Raw genomic sequence first — 25,587 nt, forward strand, 5'->3', positions numbered from 1 at the left:
GGTCCTGATGGTGACCCATGAGGCAGGCAGGAGTGAAGCCTCCACCAGCAGACCGCTGCCTCCCCGTGTGGGGGAAGCCTGGCCCAGCAGGCTGAGAACCGCGCAGGTAAGCTCTGGGGACTCCCCAGGCCAGGAGGGCAGCCAGGAGGTTGGAGATCAGCAAGAGTCCCAGGTTAGAATGAAGCAAATAACCCCTGAAACTAAATGGGGAGAAATGCAGTGTTGCGCTTTGCAGCTTCCAGTTCTCAGGCGAGGTCAGTGCTTTGAGAGAAAGCAGGAGAGAGGGAGGTGACCAACGGGAGCCAGCCAGCGGTCAGCAAGCACGAACCAAGTGGCCTGACTCGTGTTTGCTTTCTTCATGGGTTAGCATGGGGACGGCCACGGTGCGGAGGCTGCGAGGTGCTTTAGGCAGGACATGATAAATTATCCTAAGGCAGCCTTGTGAACTTGATGGAGAAACAAGGAGGGTGAGGGACTCAGTTTAAAGATGGTGGCTTCCTTTTTTTTTTTTTTTTTTTAATCAGAGAATTCAGCACCTCCATGTTGACCTGGAAGGAACTCTCCAGGGCTTCAGAGCCTGCTCTACACGGTCTTACCTGGTGTGAAGTAAATATCCTCAAGGCCTCCACCATCTCCTGAGCCTGCACATCCTGGGTTAAGGAAAGTCAAATATGCTTCCTCCCCACAGGGCTGCATTGTGTTTTGTTCTCTGGGAGTGTTTCAGACACAGACATGCATACACAGACACACACATACAGACCCATACAGACATGCAAACACAGACACACACACAGACACACATAGACACACAGACATACAGACACATAGACACAGACATACACACACACAGACACACATGCAGACACAGACATAGACACACACACCGAGACACACAGACACACAGTCATACACACATAGACATACACACACACACACACGGACACATACATGCAGACATACGTAGACATACAGACATAGACACACAGACATAGACACACATACTGAAACACACAGACACACAGTCATACAGACATACACACACACAGAGGCACACACATAGACACACAGACGTACACACACACAGACACACACAGAGTTCTGCATGTTTCCTGTGGACACACATTTACATGTATGAAGGAGGAAAAGAGGTTGGCTCTCCCCAGTGCCTACGGTTCTCTCTGGGGAGGGAGAGAAGAAGGCCTTGGATGGGCTTGATTTCTGAGGGGATCTTAGTCATATCTATGCATAGTTTTTGCTTTTTTCTTTTATAAGGATAATGTATTCATGAATTTACTTGCAGAAAAATTAATTGCAATGCAAAAAGAATGTTTTTTAAAGAACTAAAACGACTTCCAGGGTCTGGCAGCAGAACCATTACAATAAGACATCAACTCCCACAGTTGGCTTTGGTGATGCAAATGTTTCCTGGGACCCGGCCCTTGCCAAGCCCATACTAGAGAAAGCCCCAGAGTGAAATAAACCCCTGGCCTCAGTGCTTCCAGGACAGCGGGGAGGCCTGCATGGAAACTTTCCCTTTGATGGGGAAGAAACCCCAGCTGCCCAGAGGGAGGGGGAGGGATGGTGACGCTGGGTGGGGGCTGGGTGACGTGAATGGTGGCTCTACGGAGGAGACGGTGCCCGGGCCAGGTCCTGAGAGATGAGCCGGAGTTACTCCCGTGAAGGAAGGGCATTCAGGGAGAGAAGGGCAAGGTGGAGGCTGAGGGGAGCTGTGATCAAGTGCTCAGAGTGCTTACCAAGGCGGGTCTCTGCTCCATGCACTTTACACTGACTTCATAGCAGGATCATGTGGTGGGTCCTAAATTGTCCTAATTTACAGATGAGCAAATCCAAGCACAGAGAGATTAAGAAACCTGAGTAAGGTCCCACAGCAGGCACCTGTGTCTGAGCTCTTAAGTACTGTGATTCTCAGGGAATGGGACTTGTGTGAGAGTGGGAGGGGAAGCACAATTAGAATAGTGACAAGGAGTCCTAGGTGGGGCTGGAGGAGGGGCCAGTTGTCTTTACTTCAAAACCTCCCTGGGGGCCGGGCGCAGTGGCTCACGCCTGTAATCCCAGCACTTTGGGAGGCCGAGGGTGGGCGGATCACGAAGTCAGGAGATCAAGACCATCCTGGCCAACATGGTGAAGCCTTGTCTCTACTAAAAATACAAAAATTAGCTGGGCGTGGTTATGCCCACCTATAATCCCAGCTACTCCGGAGGCTGAGACAGGAGAATTACTTGAACCCGGGAGGCGGAAGTTGCAGTAAGCCGAGATCGTGCTACTGCACTCTGACCTGGGTGACAGAGTGAGACTCTGTATCAAAAAAAAAAAAAAATCCCCCTGGGGCCTGGAAGGGGATGTGACCCCTTTCTTGGGGCTGTGCTGTCTCAGAAGGTGTGCCCTGTCTGGGGGTCCACTGAGATCCCGGTCCTCAGCACCAGCCTGTCCCCAGCACAGAGTAGCCCATCCCAGCCTCCCGGTCTTCTGGTTCCTAGTCTGTGGAATGGAGAGGAAAACCTCAATCAAAGACTTTGTAGGGCTGTTGGATAGGACAGTGGCTCTGACAGTTCTTAGATGTATAGGAGAGCTTCGATCCAGGCAAAGAGGAAAGCTGGACAGACCCGGGACTCCCTGGGAAGGGGAGGGGAGGAGGCCAGCCCTGAGGAACCACTCATGTCTCCTCCACCACTGAGACCAGAAGGCAGTCAGCAGACTCCCCACATAGCCCCATTGAGTCCCCGCAGCAACCCCTGGAAAGGGGATGTTCTTGTCTGAGGTACCAAGGCTGGAAGTGAGCTGCCTGTGGTCATCATACTTGTGGAGTGGGGGTTGGGCCTGGGCTGGGCGACCCCAGGCCTCCATAGTGGAAGTCAGTCCCCAGCACCTCCAAGAGAGATGGGCTGTCTCAAGGGGTGTCCCACTCCTGTCCAGGCTGCCTCCTGGCTACAGCGCCTCACCCCCACCAGGAGACATTTCTGAACCTGAAGACAGGCTTGGGGCTGGTGCCATGTGCTGAAGGCAGTATCCTTCTCCCTGGCTGGGAAGTCTACCGTTCACATAAGACACCTGCCCCTGTGGCTGCCGAGGAGCTGAGGGTGTGGCCAGCCCAGAATTTGGACAGGGCCAAGTGTCTGGGTCACTTTGGTCCCGTTGACAACTTTTGGGGCATCTATTCTGAGAAGGGATATCCCCAGGTTGCCCCTCACTGCCTCCCCAAGGAGAATCCCCCACCCCCAGTCCCCAGGCCCAGAGCCTGCGCCAGCTCCTTCCCTTGCCCCAGCTGTCGGCCGATACCCCTTATCGCTGTTGTGTCTTGAGGCTGGCCGGGGGCTTCTTGATCTCCAGCTGCGGCTGTGGGCTGGCCAGGGCAGGCTTGAGCTCCCCTTTGCCCCAGCTCCTTGAGAGGCTCCCGCCCCCCAGGGGCTGGAGAACCAGCTCATGAGTCTTTCTCAACTGGCAGAGCCTTGGGGGCTGCCACAGAGCCTGTCAACCCTGGACTTCCACCAAGCCTGACTTCACTGCCTCCTGGCAAGCTGGGCGCCCCCAAGTCCTCACTGCCTTATCTGTCCTTTGGGCACAGGAGGTCTTCCTGCAGGGTTGGGTGGTACGAATGGGGACCCCTTGCTGGCATGTGGCTTTGAGCAGCCTCAGTGCTGGGTCTCACTCCTGCCCACCAGGGCTTAGTGAACCCTAGGTCCTTCCTGGGCAGAGCCAGTCCAGCTACACGGCCAGCAGGTCAGGTGCCTGGAGGCCGGGTGAGGGCCTCAGCCACTGCCCTGTTGTGTGGTCCTGGGCAGGACAGCCCCAACCCCCTGCCCAACCCCACCTCGGTTGGCTTCAGTTTGTCCCATGAGACGTGAGCAGGTTGGACTGAGGGTGTTTGAATGCCTTTTCTGTCACCCACCCCTGGCAATGCAGCGACCCTCCCTGCAAACCCCACGTGGCACTTCACCCCAGGAGACAGTTTTGAGTGGCAGGGGTGCTGAGGAACATCAGAATCACAGAGCCCAGAGGCCAGGTGGAAGGTAGACGTTGAAAGCAGGAGGGTCCTGGCCTTCGGGGTGAGGAAGCAGAGGCTAAGCCCTGGGCAGGCCCAGGTGACCTGAGTTCGTACTCAGCCTCCGCCACTGACTGCTTCAGCACGAATGGTGGAAACTGGGGCACTGGTAGAACCACAGAGGGGGGTCTTTCCCCAGGGACGAGGGACTTTCTGGCGCCCCTCCTCCAGTTGAACCGCATAGGTGACTTAGCCCAGAGAGCATGGTCATGATCCACGTCTCAGGCGGTCTTGGCGGCCCCAGGCAGCCTAACCCTGGTGACCTTGGCATTCCTTCCTCTCTAGTGTCTAATCTCCCCTCTCACCCGCTGTGGACTCCTCTTCCCTCTGCTCTGCTGCCTGGGGGGCCCACCCTCCTTCCTCCCTTCTCCTCTGGGCCCCACTCCCTCCTGCCTTTCTCACTCCCACTGCTTCAATGACTTCAAAATAAACCAACACAAAGAAATGCTGTCTTGGAAAGACTGGTGCCACAGGTGGATGCGATTGAGCCCAGCACAAGGACAAGGTATGAGCTTCAGGCTCCATCCCCCGGGCATCCCTCTGCTCAGCGAGCCCTCGTGGTGTGCCTGGCACCCGCAGTGATGGTTTTCTGTGACCCGCATAGCAACCCGAGGAGGAGGAATTGTTAGGATTTCCATTTTACAGCTAAGAAAATTGAGGCACAGCTGTTAAGTAAAATGCCCCAAGCCACAGCTGCTTAGAGCCAGTCCACTGGCCCAGATCTCAACCTTTGAACTACGATGCTGATGCAGCAGGGGCCAATCCCTCAGCCTCCCTAGGCCTCAGCTCTTCCATCTGTAAAATGGAGTCATAGCATGTTCCTCAAAGGGCTGTTTTAGAGGTTTGATGGCATCCTAATTTCAGAGTCTGGCATAGCACCTGCTGTGTAGTGGATGCTCAATGAACATGTACGCCTTTCCTCTTCTGTTCTCTCTGCAATGAGGTTGAATGCCCCAGTGTCACCTGGCTATGACCCAACAAAGTCAGGCTCTATGACTGGTTTGAATGGAGGTTTGAGGCGGAGGGGAGGCCCCATAGGAGGCACCATGTACCCCTGCCCCTGGCTCGAGGGTCTGGCCACTCCCGTTCCCACCCACACCCTCTGTGGGCCACCTAATGTGGGGAGTGGGAATACCACCCTGCAGACCCCTCCCTTCTCCGGCCACAGGCAGCTAGTCCCACGTCCAGCCTGCCAAAGCCCTCTGCAGCCCCCACCCCTGCCCGCCCCTACTCCCAGGAGTGGAGGGCTCTCTTTGCAGGAGCCCAGAAGTTCATTTCCTGTTCCAGCAGCTCCTGAGGTTGGGGTGAGAGGAATCGAGCCTGGTGGGGAGGGGCCCTTGAACACCCTCTGCCCCAGCACGTGCCAGCTGCATACCAGCGCCTCTCTACTCCTTGCGTCCCCTCTGTCCCCAGCAGCCTCTGACCCCATGGGATGCCCTCCTTACACCCTCCCCTGAGAAAACGGGAGCCATTTGTCAGGGATCTTTCTCTTCCCACACCCCGGTCTGCACTCCTGCATCTGGCTCCTCTCTTTGGCTCCTGCCTGGATTGCCGTTGCTCCCTTTGCTCCCTGCCTGGGATCTGGGGCTGCCTCAATGGCTCTGCTGCTCTGTCTCTCACAGTCTCCCATGGCTGCAGCTGGCTGACCGGCCCCATGCTGCGCTCTCCTCTCTGGCCTCAACTCGCTATGACTCTAGCATGGTTTAGTGGATCCAGTCTCACTCCATTTACAGGTAGAACAATGGAGGCCTCATACAAGAGTCCGAAGACCTGATGAGCCTTCGGCCAGCCTGGAGCTCCATTTTTCTGCTCCCCCGGGGGCCCACTGTCCAGGGCATCAAGGGTTATCGGGTGCTGCCCCTCACCAGGGAGAGCTGGGGTCTGCCCCCTTCAGCCTGTGCCTCCGCATGGCTGCAGGTGCACAGGCTAAACATCAGAGCCAGACAGATCTTGGCTTCTATCTGACTCACTGTTTCTGGCTGGGCACTCTTGGCCACTTACCCAAGCTCTCTGAGCCTTAGTTTCCTCATCTGTAAAATGGGGTTGATAAGTACTTATACTTGGGCTGTGAGGATTCAGTGAGTCAGGATTGTAAAATGCCTGACGCGTGGAAGGCAGGAAACTAACGATCATTTTCATCATGATGATGGGGCCCTTGGTTGGAGACGATGTCCCGACATGGGTGGTGGCTGGGGCTGGGATGTCAGGTCAGCAGATGCACCTGCCAATACACAGCCCAGGACTTCTGCAGGAGAAGCGGAAATTGCATCCCTGCCTTCTGACAGCCAGCTCTCTGACTGGGGTAGGGGGTAGGCTCTGGGTAACTGGAGGGGCAGGAGAAGGGCTCAGCACAGGCCAAAGGCTAGGGGAGAACATGGCTGGGTAGAAGTGGGGAGCAGCTAGGACGCTAGCTTGGGGAGAAGTGGGAGGCGAGGCTGGCAGGAAGAAGCCAGCGAGGGTGATGTTGGCTTTTACTGCCCTGACAAGGGGAAAGGGAAGGAAGGGTGGAAGAGGACAGTGCCCTTTATAAACATGGTCTCCAACCATTCCTCTGAGTAGGAGAGATCTTTACCACCACTTACATTTGAGGAAACCAAGGCTCAGAGAGGTTAAGTGACTTGCCCAAGGACACACAGCTGCCCTAAATTGTGGACTCCAGGTTTAATTGGAAGGCTAGGACCACTGTGGGCAGGTGTTCAGGCTGAGGCAGAGCACGGATAAGCACGTCTAGAGGATGGGGCAGAGGAGAGGGGTAGGTGGGTTGGGCTAGGCAGGGGTCTTAGGGCACCTGTGCAGGCTAGAGGGGAGGGGCGGAGGGAGGGATGAAAATCTGGGAGAGGACTGACCTTTGCACCTTCAAAAAGGGTCAGGTAACCCAGACTTATTGATTTCTGGCACCCCCAGTTCCAACTCCGTGGCCTGGGGCTCTGATGTTCTCCTTCCTTCTCCCCACTGTGCCCCCACTCCCATCCTCGCCACCTAGCCGGGCTTGTTCCCTGAACTTAAAGCCCTGGGGGGAGAGAACAAGGCTGAGGGGTCTACACCTCTGCTGATCCTCCTATTTCTCAGCCTGGCCGGTGACTCCAGAGCTGAGGCTGCACGCACCCCGGGCCCAGCAGTGTGGCTGTGGGTCCTGCGGCAGGCTGCAGGCAGACAGGGCCACTTCAAGGGGTCCCAGCAAGTGTGTGTGCTTCAGGCAGCCCCCAACAGGGCGCCACCAAGCTCAGGCCCTACCAAGCCTGCCCCAGGTTGGTCTCTGCTCTAGGAAGACCAGAGGTTTATTGAATTCCACATAGGGGCTAGTTTGTAAAGAGGCTGGTGGCCACCTTGCCTAACCTGGACAATGCTGAATCCAAAAAGCAAGTGGGTAGAAAGACTGGGGAGGGTGGTAAAGTGGGGGTGGGGTGTGCCCCAGCAGAGAGTCAACAATTCAGAGCGAAGACTGGGCACCAGGCTCCCGAGTGGGTAGAGAGGACAGGGAGGCCTGGGAGGGGTAGGGGCCTCCCCACTTCTTACCATAGGGCAGGTCGGCAGAGGAGAGCAAGGAGCTGATTAGGGCAGGTGTCCTTGCATCTCCAATACCATCCACACGTCAGTGGGTCTGTCCTCCAGTAGGTGGTGTGTCCAACCCTGTGCCAGAAGCGTCCCCTAGAAGCCACTATGGTTACAAGTGGACACTTACAGGGCGTAGGGGAAACAGACCCTCATCAAGACATCCCTGTTGCATGTGTGTTCATATTTGCTCTGGACACTTCTAGGAGGACAAAATGCACCAGCGCATTCGTTCGTTTCATAAACCTTTGCTGAGCACTTACTCTAGACCCCGCACCAGGGTTTCAGAAATACAAAAAATGGAAGGAAAGAATCTCGTGTGTATTGATTTTCCAACTCTGTGCCGCAGGCAAAACACGTGTGCTTGTACTGCTCTGCAGGAGCCCCGCGTGCCCGCCACCGTCCTCTGCATCTCAGCTCTGACTTGGCAGCCCTCCGACCTCAGCCTGGTTACTTCGCCTTTCAGCAGCTTCTTTATGTGGCTGCAGTGAGAATTAAGTGACATAATCCATGTACAGTGCCAGGCACAGAGAAGGTCATTCAGGAAAGATGATTAAACTACTCACCCAGGGACGCTGACTGGTAAGTGGCAGAGCCTGGGTTTGAACCCAGGTCTGCTGAGTGCTAGAACCTGCGGAAACTGGAGCCTTCATGGCCACTTCTTCTGTCCCCCTTGGCCTGTCCATTTGGCTGAGCTGGCCAGCTTGGCTATTGGGGAGCCACGCCCTGCAGCATCCACGGGTATCCCAGCATCCTGCAGGGCCCCCAGGGTGCACCAATCCTAAGCGGGATGTGGGTGCCTCCTGTTTAGGGACCAGGTGCCTCCCCTAACTCCTCCAAGCAGAGGGAGCAATGCTTTCTGCCTGTTGCACATGGGTTGCTCCCATGGCTGGCAGCTGGGTTGAACTGTTTGTTTTGAACTTGACTGTGTTTGGAGCAGGAAAATGCTTTAAAAGAAAGGCAGGTGAGGCAGTGAGTCAGGTAGAGGGTGGCCCACCCGGCTCCACCTGTGTGCTGAGCTTCCCACTACAAAGCTGTTCTGCCACGTGAGCTTTCCATTCCCCAGCCACGTGCAGACCCAGCTGCTGGAGCCAAGAGGAACAGGTGTCAGGAGCCTCTGGCAGGTGACAGACCCTGAGAGGCAGGAAGACCAACAGGGATCTTGGGCTGATTCCACTCTTGACTTGCTCTGCAACCTTAGGAGTGAATCCCTCAGCCTTCCCTCCTCAACTCAGAGATTTAAAACACACATGTTTCGTCCTTGTCAAGGCCTCTCAGGCAGGATGGCCAATCATCTCTTTTTGCCTGGGTCTGTCCCAATTTTAGCACTGACAGTCCTATACCCCGGGAAACTCACCAGTCCTGGGAAAAGCGGGACATTTGATCACCCCATGGATCTCATATGCAGAATCTCCTAGGCCCTCAAGCTCCCCACAAGGCAGACTGAGTTGTGGGTTATCATCCCATTTCACAGGTGTGGAAAGCAAGTCGGCAGAATTTCAGTTTTAGATGGTGAGACATTCTGCTCTCATTGTCGTAAGACAAAGTGTTTTGCAAAGCAGAGGTGCACGCCAGAGGACAGGGCAGGCAGCATGTCGGGCCTGCTCAGATCTCCTGGGCTCATCTGAGGCAGAAACAGTGACCAGGCATGAGAACCCGCAGGGTGGGCTATAGGCTGTGGGCTCTGGGGATGTGCCCAAGGCTTGGGCTTGGCCAGGTCAGGAAGTCCCTGGGGAATGACATGCCTGAGCTCCCAGGCCCCAAGCTCCCACCTGTAAAGGTGCTCAGGGGGAAGCAGATGCCCAGAGTCTCCACCTCCCCATGGGTCTGCCACCGAGCTGGGTGCCCCAGGCAGTGCTGTGGCATCACTGGGCTCATTCATTTTTCAGGAAACAGATGCTTAGGGAGAGCCCACTTGGTGCCAGGCTCTGGGGACTGGGTGAGAAGCAAGAAGTACAGCCCCTGCCTTCATTAAGCTGGCATGCCTGTGGGAGAGACAGATATACAAATTGCCAGACAGAGACTGGTTTAACCGCAGCTGTGGTCAGTATCATGAAGGAGAAAAGATCAGAGCTTATGCGGGGGCCTTAGCCCTGGCCTGGGGGACCTTGAGTGCACTTGAATGGGACCCCAAGGGTGACCAGGGAGCAGCCGGGGGAGCTCTCTGGGGGTTGTGACTAGGCTGGCCCCTTTTTGGCTGTGCGGCCTTGGGCAAGTTGCTTGGCCTCTCTGAGCCTCAGGTGTTTCCTCTGTACTATGGGGATGGTATATATCTACTTTTCCCACCTGATGGGAGGCTTCAGTGGGAATGAGAGAAGCAGCTGGCAGAGGTAGGCACTTCATTAGAGGAGGAGCTCCCTTTGATCTGCTGCCTGAGTGCGTGGCTGTGTCCTGGGAGGAAGGATGAAAGAGGCCTGGCCAGGACCCCCAACCCAAAGTTCTGGGCTCAAGGGCAACCTCCAGTTCAGAAGAGGCACTTGGCTTCACTCCAGCCCACAACTGGGGACAGGGGACAACTGAGGTAAGTGGAAGCATGAGGCTGGCTCACCAATCAAAGGACAACTGTGGGCTTGACTCTGCCCTTCTGCTTTGGGGCCTGCAGGGATCTACCCAGAGCTGTCTCTCCTGAGCCCAGCAGCCAGATTTTCACTCCTGCCCATGAGGTTCTCCATGAACATTAAACATCCTGCAAGTTCTATGCTGTGGCCCTCCAAGTGTGGACCCCAGACCAGCAGCCTCAGTATCACCCAGGAACTTTCAGAAATGCAAATCCCTGGGTCCCACCCCAGACACGGGAGTTGGAGATGGGGGGTGAGGCCAGCCCCCAGGTAAACTGATGCACACTGAAGTTGGAGAACCCCTGGGCTATAAGGTGTCAGACTTTCAAAGCCCCACTCAAGCTGTGTCATCACCATGTAACTGTCATGGCAATAGCAGCACTGGATGTGTGCTGGTCATTTTCTGTGCGTTGCCTTGTCCCCAGCATTTGACCTGTGTTGTGTCATTTGGGCCTCGTAACAGCCTGTGAGGCAGTCATGGGCATTACTCCATGTCACAGATGGGCAAACTGAAACTTGCCCAGGTCACACAGCAGACGGTCGCAGACCCAGGGCTCACACCCAGGCACTGGGCTCACAACTCAAAGCATGAGCTGCCAGGCCACCCTGAGGTTCAGCTGGCTGCGGCGACACGGCCAAAGCCATGGCCCATAAGCCCGCTGTGACCTTGGATGGCCAGCTCTGCCATTCACCTGGCACTGCAACTGAGGACAGATCACTTCACTGGCCTCAGTTTTCCCATCTGTAGAAAGGAACAATAGCACCCACCACATGAGATCGTTGTGAGGATTCCATGAAATAATGAAGGGAACGCTTGGGAGGCAGAAGGCATATAGGAGATACCCAGTGTGTGCCGGCAGCTCCCCTTTTTCTTAGGGATTGCAAAGAGAGGTAATTGGCCTGTGCCTCAGTTTACCCATTAGCAAGGGAAGGAAGTCCTCTTCACAAGGTGGGTGAAGCGAGCATTGCTGACCTGGAGAGGCGGTGGGGTGTGCTGGAGTGTGCAGGTCCTAAACCCTGGAGGCTGGGTTTAAGCCTCACTCTCCTGGGCCTGCTATGCAGCATTGGGCAGGTTACTACACCTGCTGGGCTCATTGTCCTCATCTGCATGAAAGGGCTGAACCTGAGCCTCCCAGCAAGGCTTAGTGGGCTATGGTGATGTGGCCGGGGTCAAGCTGCTGCTGAGCATGCTGGCATGTGGTATTTAGGCCCACTGTGTAGCGCGTCCTCCCGGTGCCCCCCGCCCCCCACCCACACCATCAAACACTCCTCCCTTCAATCACCAGGAGTTTGCAAAACTCCCAGGCATGAAGCTTCATCTCTTTGTACCTCAGTGTCCATCTGAAGAACGGGCGTGAGAATCAGATCGTGAATGCAGACCCGCCTAGTGCAGCGCCAGCCTGCATCACGCACTCAGCCAGTGGGCTGCCTGCAGCCAGGACATTCCCTTGGCTCTCAGGGCTGTCTCTAAAAAGGGCCCTGGGTTCTCAGGGTCTCTTGGGTGAGCCTCAGGGCTCCCATTCATCTCCTGTGGCCCTGGGGGGTGGCCGCATGGCCAGAAGGTTGTAGCCGGTCTGCAGGGACAAGAGGCTAAGGTGAAGCCGTCCTGGGGCTGTAGCTGACTGGGAGGGAGCTCAGGCCCATTCCTCCCCAGCCCAGGCACCTCTGGCCTTAAGATGGCAAGATACTGAGTTGAGTCTATTCGCCTGTGGCAGACACAACAGAGGGGCCCAGGAGGGCAGAGCTGGGGTGAGGGGCGAGGAGCCCCTGCTGACCTCACCGTGTCTACTGCCCGATAAGGCCCAGCTGAGCTCTAGCGTAAACTGCTCTTCCCTCTCCCTGCTTCCCTCCAAGCAGCCGTGTCTGGCTGGGAGCTTGGCCTTGGGATGGGGCTGGTAGGAAGGGATTCTCCTCCACTAGGAATGTGAATCTCTCCCTTCTCCCCTTTCTTGAGGCCTGGAGTGGGACAGGAGGAGTGAGGATTTTCCACTGAACTGGACTTGAGCCCGGGCTCTGTCATCTCCCAGCTGTGTCACTTAGAACTGGCTTTGGTGTCACCTCTCAGAACTGGTCTTTTTCATGTGCAAAATGGGGCTGGAGCTTGAGGCCTGCTGCCCTGAAGGATACCTGGCATGCAGCAGGCACTTAGTGCATGGTGGTGATTTTGAAGACTGAGCACCTAGTGTGTGCCATGATGAGGATGGAGAGGACAGGAGCCTCGCCCTCAGAGACCCCCTTCTCCACATTGGGCAGTCTGGCTCTCCCCATGATCAGCCATACCAAGGCACTTGTTCTGGGTGGCTGAGCCCATGTATGTCCCTATGAGCCTCCATAATGTCCCAGAGGAAGCTTCCATGTCCTGATGCCTGTCCATTCTGGGAGCCCCATTTAGGGGATGGGCCTATGCCTGGTTCCTGGGGCTTGCCAGGCCCCTGGATGGGGGAGTCTGGCCTGGAAGCTCCCTGCACTGGACCAGTCTGGGGTCTCCCACTGGGGCAGTCCTTGGTGGTGTTGTCTCCCCCTTGCATCTCCTCCCGGGGGGAAGGCTGGCTCATGAAGGCTCAGGCTAGCAGGTGAGGACACAGAGTCAAGGCCACACCCTCCCCAGGCCTCAGCCAAATCATCTACAGGAGTTTGGGACCTCCCCTAGGGCCTGTGCACAGAGGCAGTGTGGACTTTGGACTCAACCAGACCCATATTCTCATCTGAGGACAAGCTCTGACAGGTCGGCTGGGGGTCAGCAAACCTGACCTTGGGCACCCTGTGGTTTGGGCCAAAATGGAGCGTGAGATATACCTTCCACAGAGGGACGATGACAAGAATCCTTGCACGTGGGCTTGCTTTAAATGCCATGCGCACATTTTCCTCCTGCCCCCACTGCCATTCTGACCGGGACTTGACCCAGAGGTCCTCGAGGACCTGCCACAGGATCGATCTGACAAGGCCCTCGGGGCAAGGAAGTGCTTACAATCCACAGAGTATTTCCAGCTCTGTGAGATCCTATCCCTGGGATGGGCTTCCAGAACCACTGCTGCTAGAAAAATGTCACTGGGAACGCAGATGCTCGATCTGGGAGGATCGGCTGGGCTGGGCTGGGGGCGGTGGGGGAGGAGGCTGGAGGCCTGGCACAGGGAATGCAAATTGGCATCATGAATTATGCATCAGCCCAAGCTTCTCACACGTTTGGGGCTGAATGAAATCATGTTTGCCTGGGAAAGGGGGAGGGGAAGACAGGACAAAGATGAGCAGGGCCTAGTCCTGGGAAGTGGGAGAGGATGTCTTGCTAGGTTTCAGGAGGGGCCTTAGGAAGGTGCCTGGGCAGGAGGTGGTGGTGTCTTTCTGATACCACCTTTTTTGCTGTGTGACCTCAGGCTAGCCTCTCACCCTTTCTGATCAGCCTGTTTCCTTAGGGACATAATTTGAATGAGAGCCTCTGCTCTGTCTCACTGTGATTGTGAGGGCCTAATTAATTTTACAATTGAGAATGATCTACCTGAGGAGAATTGTTATTTTAGGAAACTAATAATAATTATTACTACACTTACTATTTACTGAATTCATGCTCTCTGCGTGTGGAGCTAAATGTTTTACAGTTATTTTTCGTGAGATCCTCACAACCATCCTTGTACTCACATGCTATTTTTGCTCCTGTTTTACAGATGAGAAGAGTGGTGCTCAGAGAGGTTAAGTCACTGGCCTAAGGTCACACAGCTGGGTAAGGAGCAGAGCCAGCATTGGATGCAGACCTTTTGGTTGCAGGGTGGTTGTGCTGTGGGCCATGGGAGAGGCTGCTCTCCCACCCTGCAGACAGTCTGGCTTCAGAGAAGTAATTTCTCTTTTCCTGAATCTTGAGAATCTGGGGGCTTGGTGGGGGACGTGGTAAGGCTAATGTGGTTGTGGTTGTTCTGGGTTGGTCCCCAGAATGACTGGCAAGATGCTAGCTCTAGAAAAACTACTCAGTTAGGACTCATGAAATGTGTGATGATTTCACCTGAAAAGTAAAATAAGAGCCAGCATTTATTGAGCAACTACTGTGTTCTGGGCCTGTCCCAGGTACTCCGTGTGGACGAATAGACCAACACACCATGGAGGGTAGTTATTGTCACACACATCTTACAGGTGCAAAAATCATTTCTTTGTACTTTACTCATTGCATTAGACCAACGTTGTGCAGTCACACTTGTGTGAGGAACAACTCTAACTACGCTGTTACTTCAAGTCAAGGACCTGGGAGTAATAAATTAAAATGGTGAGGGTTCTCAGATTGCAACTGGGAGAAACATTTGGATTCTGTAATGAAAATAGTGATGATCAACTCAGAGAAAAATGCTGGAGGATTTTTAGTGATTTTCTGTATTTATAGGAAAACATATCATGTTTAAGTGTTTCTGTTTTTTTTTTCAAAATATTCCTGTGATCTGAGTGGTCACTTATCCACTGCCCCCAAACCATATATCCCCAAAATGTTTCATCTATGCAACCACCCATCCACCAATCTACCCATCTATCCACCCATCCATCTATACACCAATCCACCCATTCGTCTACCCACCCATCCACTCACTTATATACTTACCAATTCATTCACCCATCTCCACCCATCTATCCATTCATTCGTTCCTTTATCTACCCAGCTTCCCACCCACCCTTACAACCACCACTCATACATACCCCAATTCATTTATTCATATCTAACTATCCATCCATCCATCCATCCATCCATCCACCTATCCATCCATCTACCTATCCATCCATCCACCCATCCATCCATCCATCCATCTATCCATCCACCTATCCATTTATCCGTCCGTCCATCCATCCATCCATCCATCCATCCATCCATCCATCTATCCATCCACCTATCCATTTATCCATCCATCCATCCATCCATCCATCCATCCATCCATCCATCCCCTTTTCAATAATTGAGTGCCTACTCTTTGCCAGACACAGCTCTAGGCAAACAAAACAGACACAAATTCTTTCATTTCTCCAGTTTGCACTCTAGTGGGGGAGACAAGCCATAAAGAAAATAAAATAAGTAAATGGCATATCAGATGGTGGTAAGAGCTATGGAGAAAGATAAGGCGAGGAAAGGGGATCAGGAGTGGCAGAGGTGGGGCTACAATATTCCTTGCAAATTAATTCGATTTGCTCATTGGACATTAAAATGCCCTCATTCTAAGAAATCTTTTAAATTGGACCAGTTTGTTGTGGGTGGAGTTTATGCCTGTGAATTCTCCACAGAGTCATGATGGGGCCTTGCTTTGCTCATGCCTGGATTCCTGGTCCCGAGCACAGTGCCTGGCCCAAGCAGCTGCTCAGTAAAGATGTGTTGAATGAACGATGGACACATTATTAATCTAGTAGTGAAACAAGTGTGCCATGTTTGTGGTGCTTCTGTCTCTCCCATGAATCTTCTGAAAACACTACATCCCTCCCTTCTAGAATCTGCCCTTCTTATGCTCTGAAGACCTGCCTGATCCTCCTTGCCTGCCCAGGCCAGCCTGCTCTCTATACCTCTCTGATCTTGGCCTCAGATGCTGGAGTCATCTGGTCTCGGCAAGACTGTCGGTGGATTGGGCTTTGTCTACCCCACTCCATCTCTAGCCTGTGTGCTGCAAGAACATATCTGACCCTGGGCATGTGGTTGGTGGAAGGTAGGGGAGGGTGGAGTGCAGGGGTGCTGCTAGTTATCAAGCACACAACTACTGGTTAAAGCAGGCCCTAGGCTAGGAGGTCTAGGAAGGAGCAGGAAGAGGTCCAGGAGCAGAGCACTTCAGCATTTATCCCCCGATGGGGAGCCAGGCATTCTGGTTAATAGAGGTTTTTACTCATTTTCTCCCTCCTTCCCTTTGTCCTTCCTTTCACAAATTAGTTTAATAGTCTGCTAAGCATCTTCTACTCTTCTGGCACTACCGTAGGCCATGGAGACTCTGATAAGAGATGCACGTAGTAGCAAGACGGCTCCCTCCCCAAACCAGCTGGGGACAGGAAGGACCAGAAGGCGAAAGTCAGGGACAGCTTCCTAGAAGAGGGGACATCTGAACACACCTTGAAGGATAATGAGGAGGAAGGAGGCAGATGGAGAAGGCAGAGAAGGGTGTTTCTGGAGCAGGACCAGCCTGGGCAGAGAGCACTGGGCAAGTTCCCAGAGCACCCTTTGGCTAGGAGGCAGGGATGGGGCTGGAGAGCCAGCTGCCAGCCCTCTATGGCACACACAGGCTCACCTCCAGGACAATGCAGGGGGATCTTCTTGTCACTCTTCACTCAATTGCTTCTAGCTAGTTTTGGATTTCTAAAAGTTCAATTTTTCTAAGTTCATTTATCATTAGCATTTTATCCATCTGTCCATTCATCCAACTGACCATCCATCCATCCATTCATCTATTCATCCAAACATCTGTCCATCTGTCCATCCATCCATCCGTGATGCATGCCCAATCCACCTTCCCAAGTGTCTGCACTAACTTAGGACATCGAGGCACACTGGAGTTACAACCAGAGAGTGCTTCAAGTCCTGACCTGGGTGCCCAGCGGGGCTGGACTTCAGACATGGTGCACTTGAAAGGCAGAACCTTTGTGTCCTTGGAAGTGGCTGCCCTGCCTTGCCTTGGGTAATTGAGGTGGGGTGGGGATGGGGTGGGTGCAGGGCTCAGCCACCTGCACTGGGCCCTCCGTGCTTGAGAACTCCCAGGCCTCGCTGCCTGCCCACCATATCTCACTGTTTGATGTTCCTAGTTATCTCTTCTCGTGGGAGCACCTCTCCCGCTTTGCTAGCTTCTACTCCCGCTGCCTGGCCCCCCACAGCTGCCTCCTGCCCTCCCACTGCCTGACAGCCACTGCCAAGGTCGCTGATGACCTCCTAATTGCCAGATCTGACAGGCACTTGGGGGCTTTTATCGCGGTTGCCCTCTCTGTGGCATCTGACGGGCTGACCTGCCCGCCCGGCTCCTCGGCTGGTCTGGCTCCTGGCATCTGCTGCTCCCTGAGGTGCTGTGCTCCAGAGCCCTTGGCCTCTGCAGGCCTCCTCCTCCACCCCTGTGGGGTTCTCAGGGCTAGGGCTCGCCTCTACTGGCTGCTCTCCTGGGGCTGCACTGTTCCCAAGCTCATCTCCTCCTCTGAAAGTGCTAGGACAGAGCCTGTGCTCCTTAGCCCCTCACCCCTCCCTGGCCTCTGGCCCCGGGCCCCTGGCCCCGTCTCCTGACATACTGCAGCTGGCCAGCATGCTAAACTTCCTATGAATCAGACCCTTGGCTAGCCCACCCCATGAGATGGGTCTCACTAGTTCCATTTTACATATGAGAACCTGAGGTTCCTCAATTAAAAGACTTGCCCAAAGCCACTGGGAAAGAGAATGGTCAAGTGGACGTGCTCAGGCCTGGGGACTTCCCAGCCTGCACACCCGTCCATTTCCCAAGACTGCCTCCCTCAGGGAGAAAGGGCAGGGTATCCCCATTTACATACAAAAAAAAAAAAGATGTAAAGCTCTGTTGCTCAGATCTCCGGTCTATCATTAGGATTTTATATCTCCATTCACAGTGGAGAAGACAGAGGCTCAGCCTGTCAAATGACTTGCCCAAGGTGACATGATGGGATTCAGAGTGGAAAGAGTCTGGACTCTTCCCAGGGGCTTGACTGGGAATCTGAGCTCTGCCACTTACCAGCTGCGCAGCCTCGGGCAAGTTATTTACCCTCTCTGTGCCTCAATTTTCTTCACGGGTATAAAGCTAATTATTAACCTCAAATAGAGATCATGTCTGTATGTCCCCATAGATCACTGTGGGGTCAGCATCCATGCTAGGATTCCACTCCTCCCTTCACCCTGAAGGACTTAGGCTTGTTGAAGTTTCATGATCCTCCTCATGCCACTCCTTTTACCTGGAATGGTCTTCCTTGCTTATCCTTTTGGCAAATTCATGCCCATCTCATAAAACTCTGCCTAAACGTCTCTTTCTCCAGGCAGAGAATCTCTCCTTCTGTTGTAGCCTCTAGGTGGCCACTTTGAGGGAGTGACTTCTGTGTGAGACACAAGAACCCCACTCTGGTAGGCTTATGCCCTGGTGCTCTGGGTTCCACAGAACTGCAGGTCAGGAGCACAGAGGGGTCTGGGGGTGACTTGGTGCACGTTGCCTACAGTCCTCCACTCTGCCTGTGGGCTGCAGCCCCTCTGGGTAGAGTGAGATCCTGCAGCAGCTCTAGGTTCATGTCTCTGCAGGACAGCAGCCAGGAGAGGAGGGAGCAAGTCGCTTCTGATTCTGGAAGAGAGGGACAATGGGGCAGAGGCCCCCCGGAACCTCTGGTCCAGTGTTTTGGCCCCATTGATCGCCAGCAAGGAGTGGGGTGGGCCATTAATGGGTCATCAGCCAGGCCCCCCTTGGAGCTGGCGTGGGGCCAGCTTGCAAGGGGAAGGGACACAGGGGTAGCTTGTGGGGTGGTGGAATGTGGGCACAACATCAGGGCCTTGGTTGGTGGGGAGGATGAGACAGTTACGCCTGGAGAAAAGCGAGGCATGGCTGCAGGGTCTGTTATTTAAGTACTTTCTACTTTTTCATAGGCTTGTCTTCCTCCCCTGATAGACTGCCTCTTAGAACACAAGTCCCCCCCTGGGATGGTGGCCAAGGCGGGGTCTTTTCCTTTTGGTACCCCCTGCCGTCTGCACAGGTGCTGTTCGTGTTATAGGCACCACTTACACACTGGGTACCCATTTAATAAGTGCTTGTGCAATAGATCACAATGCTTTCCTAGCACATGGCTGTCAGCCATTCATTCATTCACTGGTTTACTCATTCGTGCATTCATTCACTCATTTATTCCTGCATTCATTTTTAGTTGGGAGCCTGTTCTTCAGATGAAATAATTTGAAATAATGAGGCAAGCATGAGGAACATGCTGGAGAGGAGAAGCTCGACTCAAGGAGGGGTGGAGGTTCTGAAGCCCCAGCTTGGCAGGACCTTCCATCTCTGGGCACCCCTGGGACTCTGACACAGACTATTCATTCCACATGGGTAGGGCTCGTGCCCTAGAATTCTTGGCCTTTGCTGGCTCAGAGCTCTTCTGCCTGACATCAGCTAAGAGCTTGGCCCCAGGGGCCTCATGAGGCATGAGACATTGACATGAGCCATGAGACATGAGACATGAGACATTGACATGAGCCATGAGACATGAGACATGAGACATTGACATGAGCCATGAGACATGAGACATGAGACATTGACATGAGACATGAGACATGAGACATTGACATGAGACATGAGACATGAGACATTGACATGAGACATGAGACATGAGACATGAGACATTGACATGAGACATGAGACATGAGACATTGACATGAGACATGAGACATGAGACATTGACATGAGACATGAGACATGAGACATTGACATGAGACATGAGACATGAGACATGAGACATTGACATGAGACATTGACATGAGACGTGAGACATTGACATGAGACATGAAACATGAGACATGAGACATTGACATGAGACACGAGACATGAGACATTGACATGAGACACGAGACATGAGACATTGACATGAGACACGAGACATGAGACATTGACATGAGACACGAGACATGAGACATTGACATGAGACATGAGACATTGACATGAGACATGAGACATTGACATGAGACATGAGACATGAGACATTGGGACATGGCCGAGGAAGGGGGCTCCGATGGTTGCCTGGTCCATACCCAATTGCATGAGCAATGGTGCAAACTTCACTTTTCCCTGGGCTGGGGGAAGAACGCCCCCCACAGAGCGGCCACCTGCTTGCCCAGGGCTCTGATGCCCGATGCTCACCCTGAGGCTGAGTGCCCAGCCCACTCTGTCCCCTCTCCCCTGGCCCAGCCCCTTTTCTGAGGTGTCACGGCTCAGTGGAGGCCAGGGAAAATCGCTCTCGGGCAGGAAGCTGTAATGGGGCCTGTATGTCTGGGCCAGACCAGAGCGGCCTTGTCTGCATTTTATGTTTTATCGCCTCCTTCTGACATCAGCCTTTCCTGACATTTATTGTTCTCTTTGGGGCCTCAGAGAGCCCATCTGGAGTCAGTGAGGCTTGTGAGAGGGATGGCGGGGGGTGGGGGGGTACCGCTAAGCCTGGCCCAGTTCTAGGGTGCAAGCGGTGAAGAGGAGCTGCCCTGAGGTGCGGCAGCAGCACCAGGGGGTGGCCGCAGGTGCTGTCCAGATAGACAAGGTGGGCTGTGCTTGGGACTGGGGCTCCCACCCAGGGTTCTCCACTGGTGGAAGTGGAGGACGTGGTGGGGAGATGCACTATGTAGGGGTGCCCTCCTGCAGGAGGGGTGAGAGGAGGACAGGTCCTGGATCTGCAGGCTCTATTGATGGGACAGTGACTGATAATTCTCTCTTGCCCTTAGGGTACATGGATGTTTATTTTCGTTAATGAATGTACAGATACATTTAGTACATATTTGCACACACTTCTGTATATTTAACATAATTTCACAAGTGAAATGATTGAAAAAGAGTGCTTCCCTGCTTTCTAGATAGATGTTACTCAGTCCTTTAGTTAAAATGCCAAGAAGGGGGAGTGAGTCACCTTCAACTCCTTTTGGGACATCTCCCCCTCTTTTCCCTCTGCCTCTCTTCCCTGTGGCAGACTCTGCTGTTTTCATACCCAATATTCATTCTCCACATCTTCATTTCTAAGAAAACTGATTTTATTCCATATGGCAAAGTTCTCAATTTGAGGACTCCCTTGATAGCTAGTGTCAACCAAGGAGACAGAAGTTTTTGGGTGAAGCTGATTCAGCTGGAAGGTATGCCCATTAGTGGCCACTGCCTTTCCTCCCCACCCAACTGTTTCTGCTTTCTGCCTGGAATGAGGACTTGATGGCTGGAGCCTCAACAGCAATTTTGCAACACAAGGCAACCTTAAGGGGTAGAAGCAGCATTGAGGTGGCAGAACAGAAAGACAGAAAATGTCAGTATCTGAACACTTTGAAGAGCTGCCATGCTACTTCTGGACAGCCATTTCAGATAGTTGAGGGACAGATAAATCCCTAGCTTGTTTAAGTCAATTACGTATGTTTACTATTTGTGGTAGAGTGATTAAAAATTGTTGTAATCACCTCCTCCTTCCTATACCCACATCCTTTGCAATGTGACTTTGCAGCTTCCCCATCAGAGGTGGGGGTGATTTCCTCACCCTTTTTATCTGTTTTGCAGAGGTGACTGGAGCAATTCTGAGCCTAGGTCTCAAGAAGTCTTGCACTCTTCTGCTCGATTTCTTGGAAGCCTGCACGGCAGGCCTGTTGGAGGATCACAGATACACGGCTCAGTCCCCACCACTGCCCTAGCAGCCCACCAGCCAACCCCCAGACATGTGAGAGATGCCATCTTAGACCAGCCAGCCCCCAGCCCCCAGCTGATCCTTCACTGATACAGATGCAGGAGCTAGCCCAGCCAAGATGAGCCCCCAGCCTGCCAAGACCAGCAGAACCTCCCATTGAGCCTAACCTTAATGACTGACCTGCATAATCGTGAGCTAGAAATGTGGTTGTTGTTTTAATCCTCTAAGTTTTGGTCTGGGTTGTTATGCATCGTTAACTAAATGATGTACTTTTATACCCACCATACTTCACCATCACAGATATGGTGAGATATTCAAAAGGCAGCCACATTTGACCCCTTACTCTCGCCACAAGGTCTCCAGGATACATCTTCCCTTCAGCTCGACTTCTTTCCTTCTTTCCCTCCTTTCTCCCTCCTTCTTTTCCATTTTTTATTCATAGGAGCCCAGAATCTTAGTGCTGGGATGGGCCTTCTCACTTAGTTTGGTTTTCTCAGTTTACCTGTGAGCAGGAAAGTCACTTGAGCAAATGGTCACACCCCTTCATGTGTCTTCTATACCTAGGGCCCTACTGCAGGGCCAGACACGTTGGGTAACTGTTGGAAACAGGTCTTGTTGCCTAAGAACCTGGCATCTGAAAGCTGGAAGGGACATCATCCAGGCAAACAAAATCAAAGACCCACGGGAATTGACAGTAAAAGTAATGAGTGGGCCGGGCACAGTGGCTCATGCCTGTAATCCCAGCACTGTGGGAGGGTGAGACGGGCAGACCACTTGAGGTCAGGAGTTAGAGACCAGCCTGGCCAACATGGTGAAACCCTGTCTCTACTAAAAATACAAAAATTAGCCAGGCATGGTGGCGAGCACCTGTAATCCCAGCTACTTGGGAGGCTGAGGCCGGAGAATTGCTTGAACCTGGGAGGCGGAGGTGGCAGTGAGCCAAGATGGTGCCACTGCACTCCAGCCTGGGCGACAGAGCATACTCCAACTCAAAAAAAAAAAAAAAAAAAAAAAGTGCAGAAGCCAGGTGTGGGTGAAAGGGAGGGGTGGGGACTGTGGTGAGCAATACAGGCCTTTCCAGACCAAATTCATGTCTTGTAGGATTGTTGGATCTTCAACAATCTCCTGGTTTTCAAATGTAGGCAACTCATTTGATTTTTGAAATATCATTAGTGAGACAGAGGTGTATTGGCCAAGAAAATCCCCCAAAACACACCTGAGGGTCAAATTCAGCCTTCGGGCCCTCAGTGTGTGACCTCTAATCTAGTGTAAACCTCTCTCCAATTCAAGCCTCTCAGCCTCAGCTTCTCGACGGCTCTGGCTGCTGGCATCAGCCCTCCCCAGAGAACAGGACCTCAGCTGAAAGGACAGCCGTCCCTCTAGGGGTCCACCCATGAGCACTTCTCCGGGACCTGCTTTGGTTAGAAAATACTTTCTGAAGAGGTGCCCCTAGCGGTTTGTGCCTCCATGCCCTCTTACTGCTCCCTTCTTGGGGTATACCTGGTATCCAGCGAGTGCCCATACACAACCCCCCAATTTCAACCTTGAGCAACGAATGTTGTGGAGCCAGGTAGACCCAAGCTCAAGTTCCAGCTCTGTGTCGACTTGGAGATGCTGCCTGACTGTCTCCAAAAGGAATGGGATGAAATGCTTTCCGGGTGATGAGCTGATGTAGGCAACGTGCCTGGCACTGGCCTGGCTTGAGGCGGGGGCCCTGGAGAGTGTGCTGAGGTGGTGGAAGCCGTATGGGGAGGCCAGGGAGTAGGGTGTGGGGCACGTGTCCAGCATCGAGCTCTGTCCACAGGCCTGTTCCACAGTCCTGCTCCGGAGCGCTCCCCCGCCCCTACCCACCGGATCCCTCAGCTGCAGACCTTTCCTTCTTCGTGGAGTTAACCTTGACACACGCACATGCGCATATGGGTGCCCACACCCATACGTGTGCCTGTGTGTCTGCACACACACCTCTGGTGACAGCACGTCTCTGGCCACCTCTAGGTTTTACTGCTTCAAATAGCTGCAAGATGCTCCAGTTGAACTGCAAAGTCTAGAGGCTTCCTCAGGCCTCCCCCACACCCTCAGTTGCACTTTGAAGCTCCTCTCCCTTTCACTTCCTGGGATTCTGCCCCGGCCTCATGGGGTTCCTTGTTTTGACCCAGGCTCCAAGTCCTGAAGGGCCTGGTCGCTGGATTCTCCTCTTAGCCTGAAGGGGTAAGAAGTGAAAAAGACCCAGGACCCTAGGCTTTCCTTGCTAGCTCTGCCACTTCCTATTTGAGCAGCTCCCTCCGCCTTCCTCACCTCTAACCAAGAGCATGGTGGCCTCTGCGTTAATATCTACCTTGTGGGGTTGTTGGAGAGAGGCAATGAGAGGGTGTACAGGTCACTCAGCACAGCCACCAATCCCCACCCCCCCACACACCGTCGGCCTCCTGCTGGAGTTCCCTCCCCTCCTGGATCTCAGCCAGGTCTTGGGAAGGCCGGGCAGGCAGACAGGCAGGGGTGGGGGAGGTTCCTGAGGGGTAAGCAGCTCCCGGGAGCCCTTCAAATCATTCCCAGAGGCAGCTGCCTGTGCAGAAGGCTGGGGCTGACGCCGCGCCAAGAGTGGAGGGCTCTGCGGGCTCCAGAGCCTCTCGCCGGGAAGCTGCTCCCCAGGCACCCACCCACGCGCACACGGCCCTCAGGAGCCCTGGCGGAGGGCGGGCTGGGTGTGCACATGCGTGTGTGTGTGTCCAAGAGTGTGCGCGGAAACGCTAAGTGACTTGTACAAGCTCATCCTGCAGGTGGGCCTCCATGCTACCCTCCAACCCGACTCCAGGACTCTCATTGGAGGAAGGGCAGTCCCATCCTTTCCTGGGTTCCACTGTAGCATTCCCTGGGGAGCTCCGCCCGCCACTGGCACGCCGGGGACAACAGGGGCTCGCCATAGCCAGGCTAGGGACCATCCTAGTATCATCTACTTCTGCCTCTTTCCTGAGGACAGTGGTGGGTCGGGGGATGATGTTGGGGGCTCGGGACGGCGGGCAGGAGTTCTTAGCACTGCTCTCAGCTTTGACACTGGCCTTGTGATGACTTCAGTCTCAGATTCCCCAACTGTCAAGTGGGGACGACAATCCAAAGCTGTTGTGAGGACCCCATGGGTCTTGCACAAGAAATTACCCAGCAAAGGCTGCCCCTCGGGATATGAAGATGGAAGAAGCTCCTGTCTTCTCACCCCTGTCTTGGCAGGGCCGGGGGAGAGCTGAGCCCGAGGAGGGACTGAGCCCAAGGAAGGACTTCCTCTCCTGGCCCTGAGGGTGGTTGGACCCACAGCTGCAGATGAAGTTCTTGGCCACACAGAAAATTGGGGCTGACCCCCACCCGTGCAGGCCCCAGGTTGGAAGTGGGCCACATACATGGGAACTGTCCACTGAAGTACAGGTGACCTCAGAGGAGGACCAAGGTGATCCGGCTGGGGCAAGGACAGCATCTGTAGCCCGCGTGTCCACAGGGAGCATCTGAGTCCTGGAGAAGTGTGGTGGTTTCTGGGCCGGGAAAGTAGGGCTAGGGTGGAGAGTGTGGGTGTGGGGGAGGAGGATGCCGTAAACCCTGCCCTGCCCTGCCCTGGGGGTCTCACTCACAGGCACAGAGCTGGACAGCATTTTCACTAACGTAATCTTTCTACTTGCCTGGAAGAATCTGAGGAAGGTTATCTGAGCCTAGTCTCACCAGATGCCACGCAATTCAGTATGGCCTTGCTGAGGGTTCTCTCCATGGCCCCCAGCCTGTGAGGGACACACAATATTTACTAACTCACTGGTGGCTGAGTCATCATCCACTCGTTCATTTATTCCACAAAGACGGCTCTGATCACACCCGCGGCAAGTGGCCGGCACTCCCTGGAGCTCCAGGCATCTTGTCTCTCGCATGCACCAGGCTCTCTGCAGCAGATGCTCTTGGGTGTTCCTGTGGGCAGGGCACACCCCGTCCTCCACACAGCCCAGCTCCCAGCTCGGTGCCTGACCTAGGCCAGCCCTTGGTGAAGAGCAGGGAAACGGACGGCAGACATGGGGGCAGGCATGGGGCGCAGAGGGGACCCCACCTGCCTCCCACAAGCTGCCC

General features: G+C 54.0%; 3 annotated features.

Moving 5' to 3' along the window:
• Positions 1,117–2,010: an enhancer, noted in NCBI's record as "OCT4-NANOG-H3K4me1 hESC enhancer chr2:121130783-121131676 (GRCh37/hg19 assembly coordinates)". NCBI's record gives its function as "activates a minimal SCP1, AML or CMV promoter by ChIP-STARR-seq in primed H9 embryonic stem cells {active_cell/tissue: H9 hESC(primed)}" and the evidence as "EXISTENCE:reporter gene assay evidence [ECO:0000049][PMID:30033119]".
• Positions 3,795–4,686: an enhancer, noted in NCBI's record as "H3K4me1 hESC enhancer chr2:121133461-121134352 (GRCh37/hg19 assembly coordinates)". NCBI's record gives its function as "activates a minimal SCP1, AML or CMV promoter by ChIP-STARR-seq in naive and primed H9 embryonic stem cells {active_cell/tissue: H9 hESC(naive and primed)}" and the evidence as "EXISTENCE:reporter gene assay evidence [ECO:0000049][PMID:30033119]".
• Positions 22,744–23,557: an enhancer, noted in NCBI's record as "H3K4me1 hESC enhancer chr2:121152410-121153223 (GRCh37/hg19 assembly coordinates)". NCBI's record gives its function as "activates a minimal SCP1, AML or CMV promoter by ChIP-STARR-seq in naive H9 embryonic stem cells {active_cell/tissue: H9 hESC(naive)}" and the evidence as "EXISTENCE:reporter gene assay evidence [ECO:0000049][PMID:30033119]".

The sequence above is a fragment of the Homo sapiens genome, chromosome 2 (genome assembly GCF_000001405.40).
Source record: "Homo sapiens chromosome 2, GRCh38.p14 Primary Assembly".
NCBI lineage: Eukaryota > Metazoa > Chordata > Mammalia > Primates > Hominidae > Homo > Homo sapiens.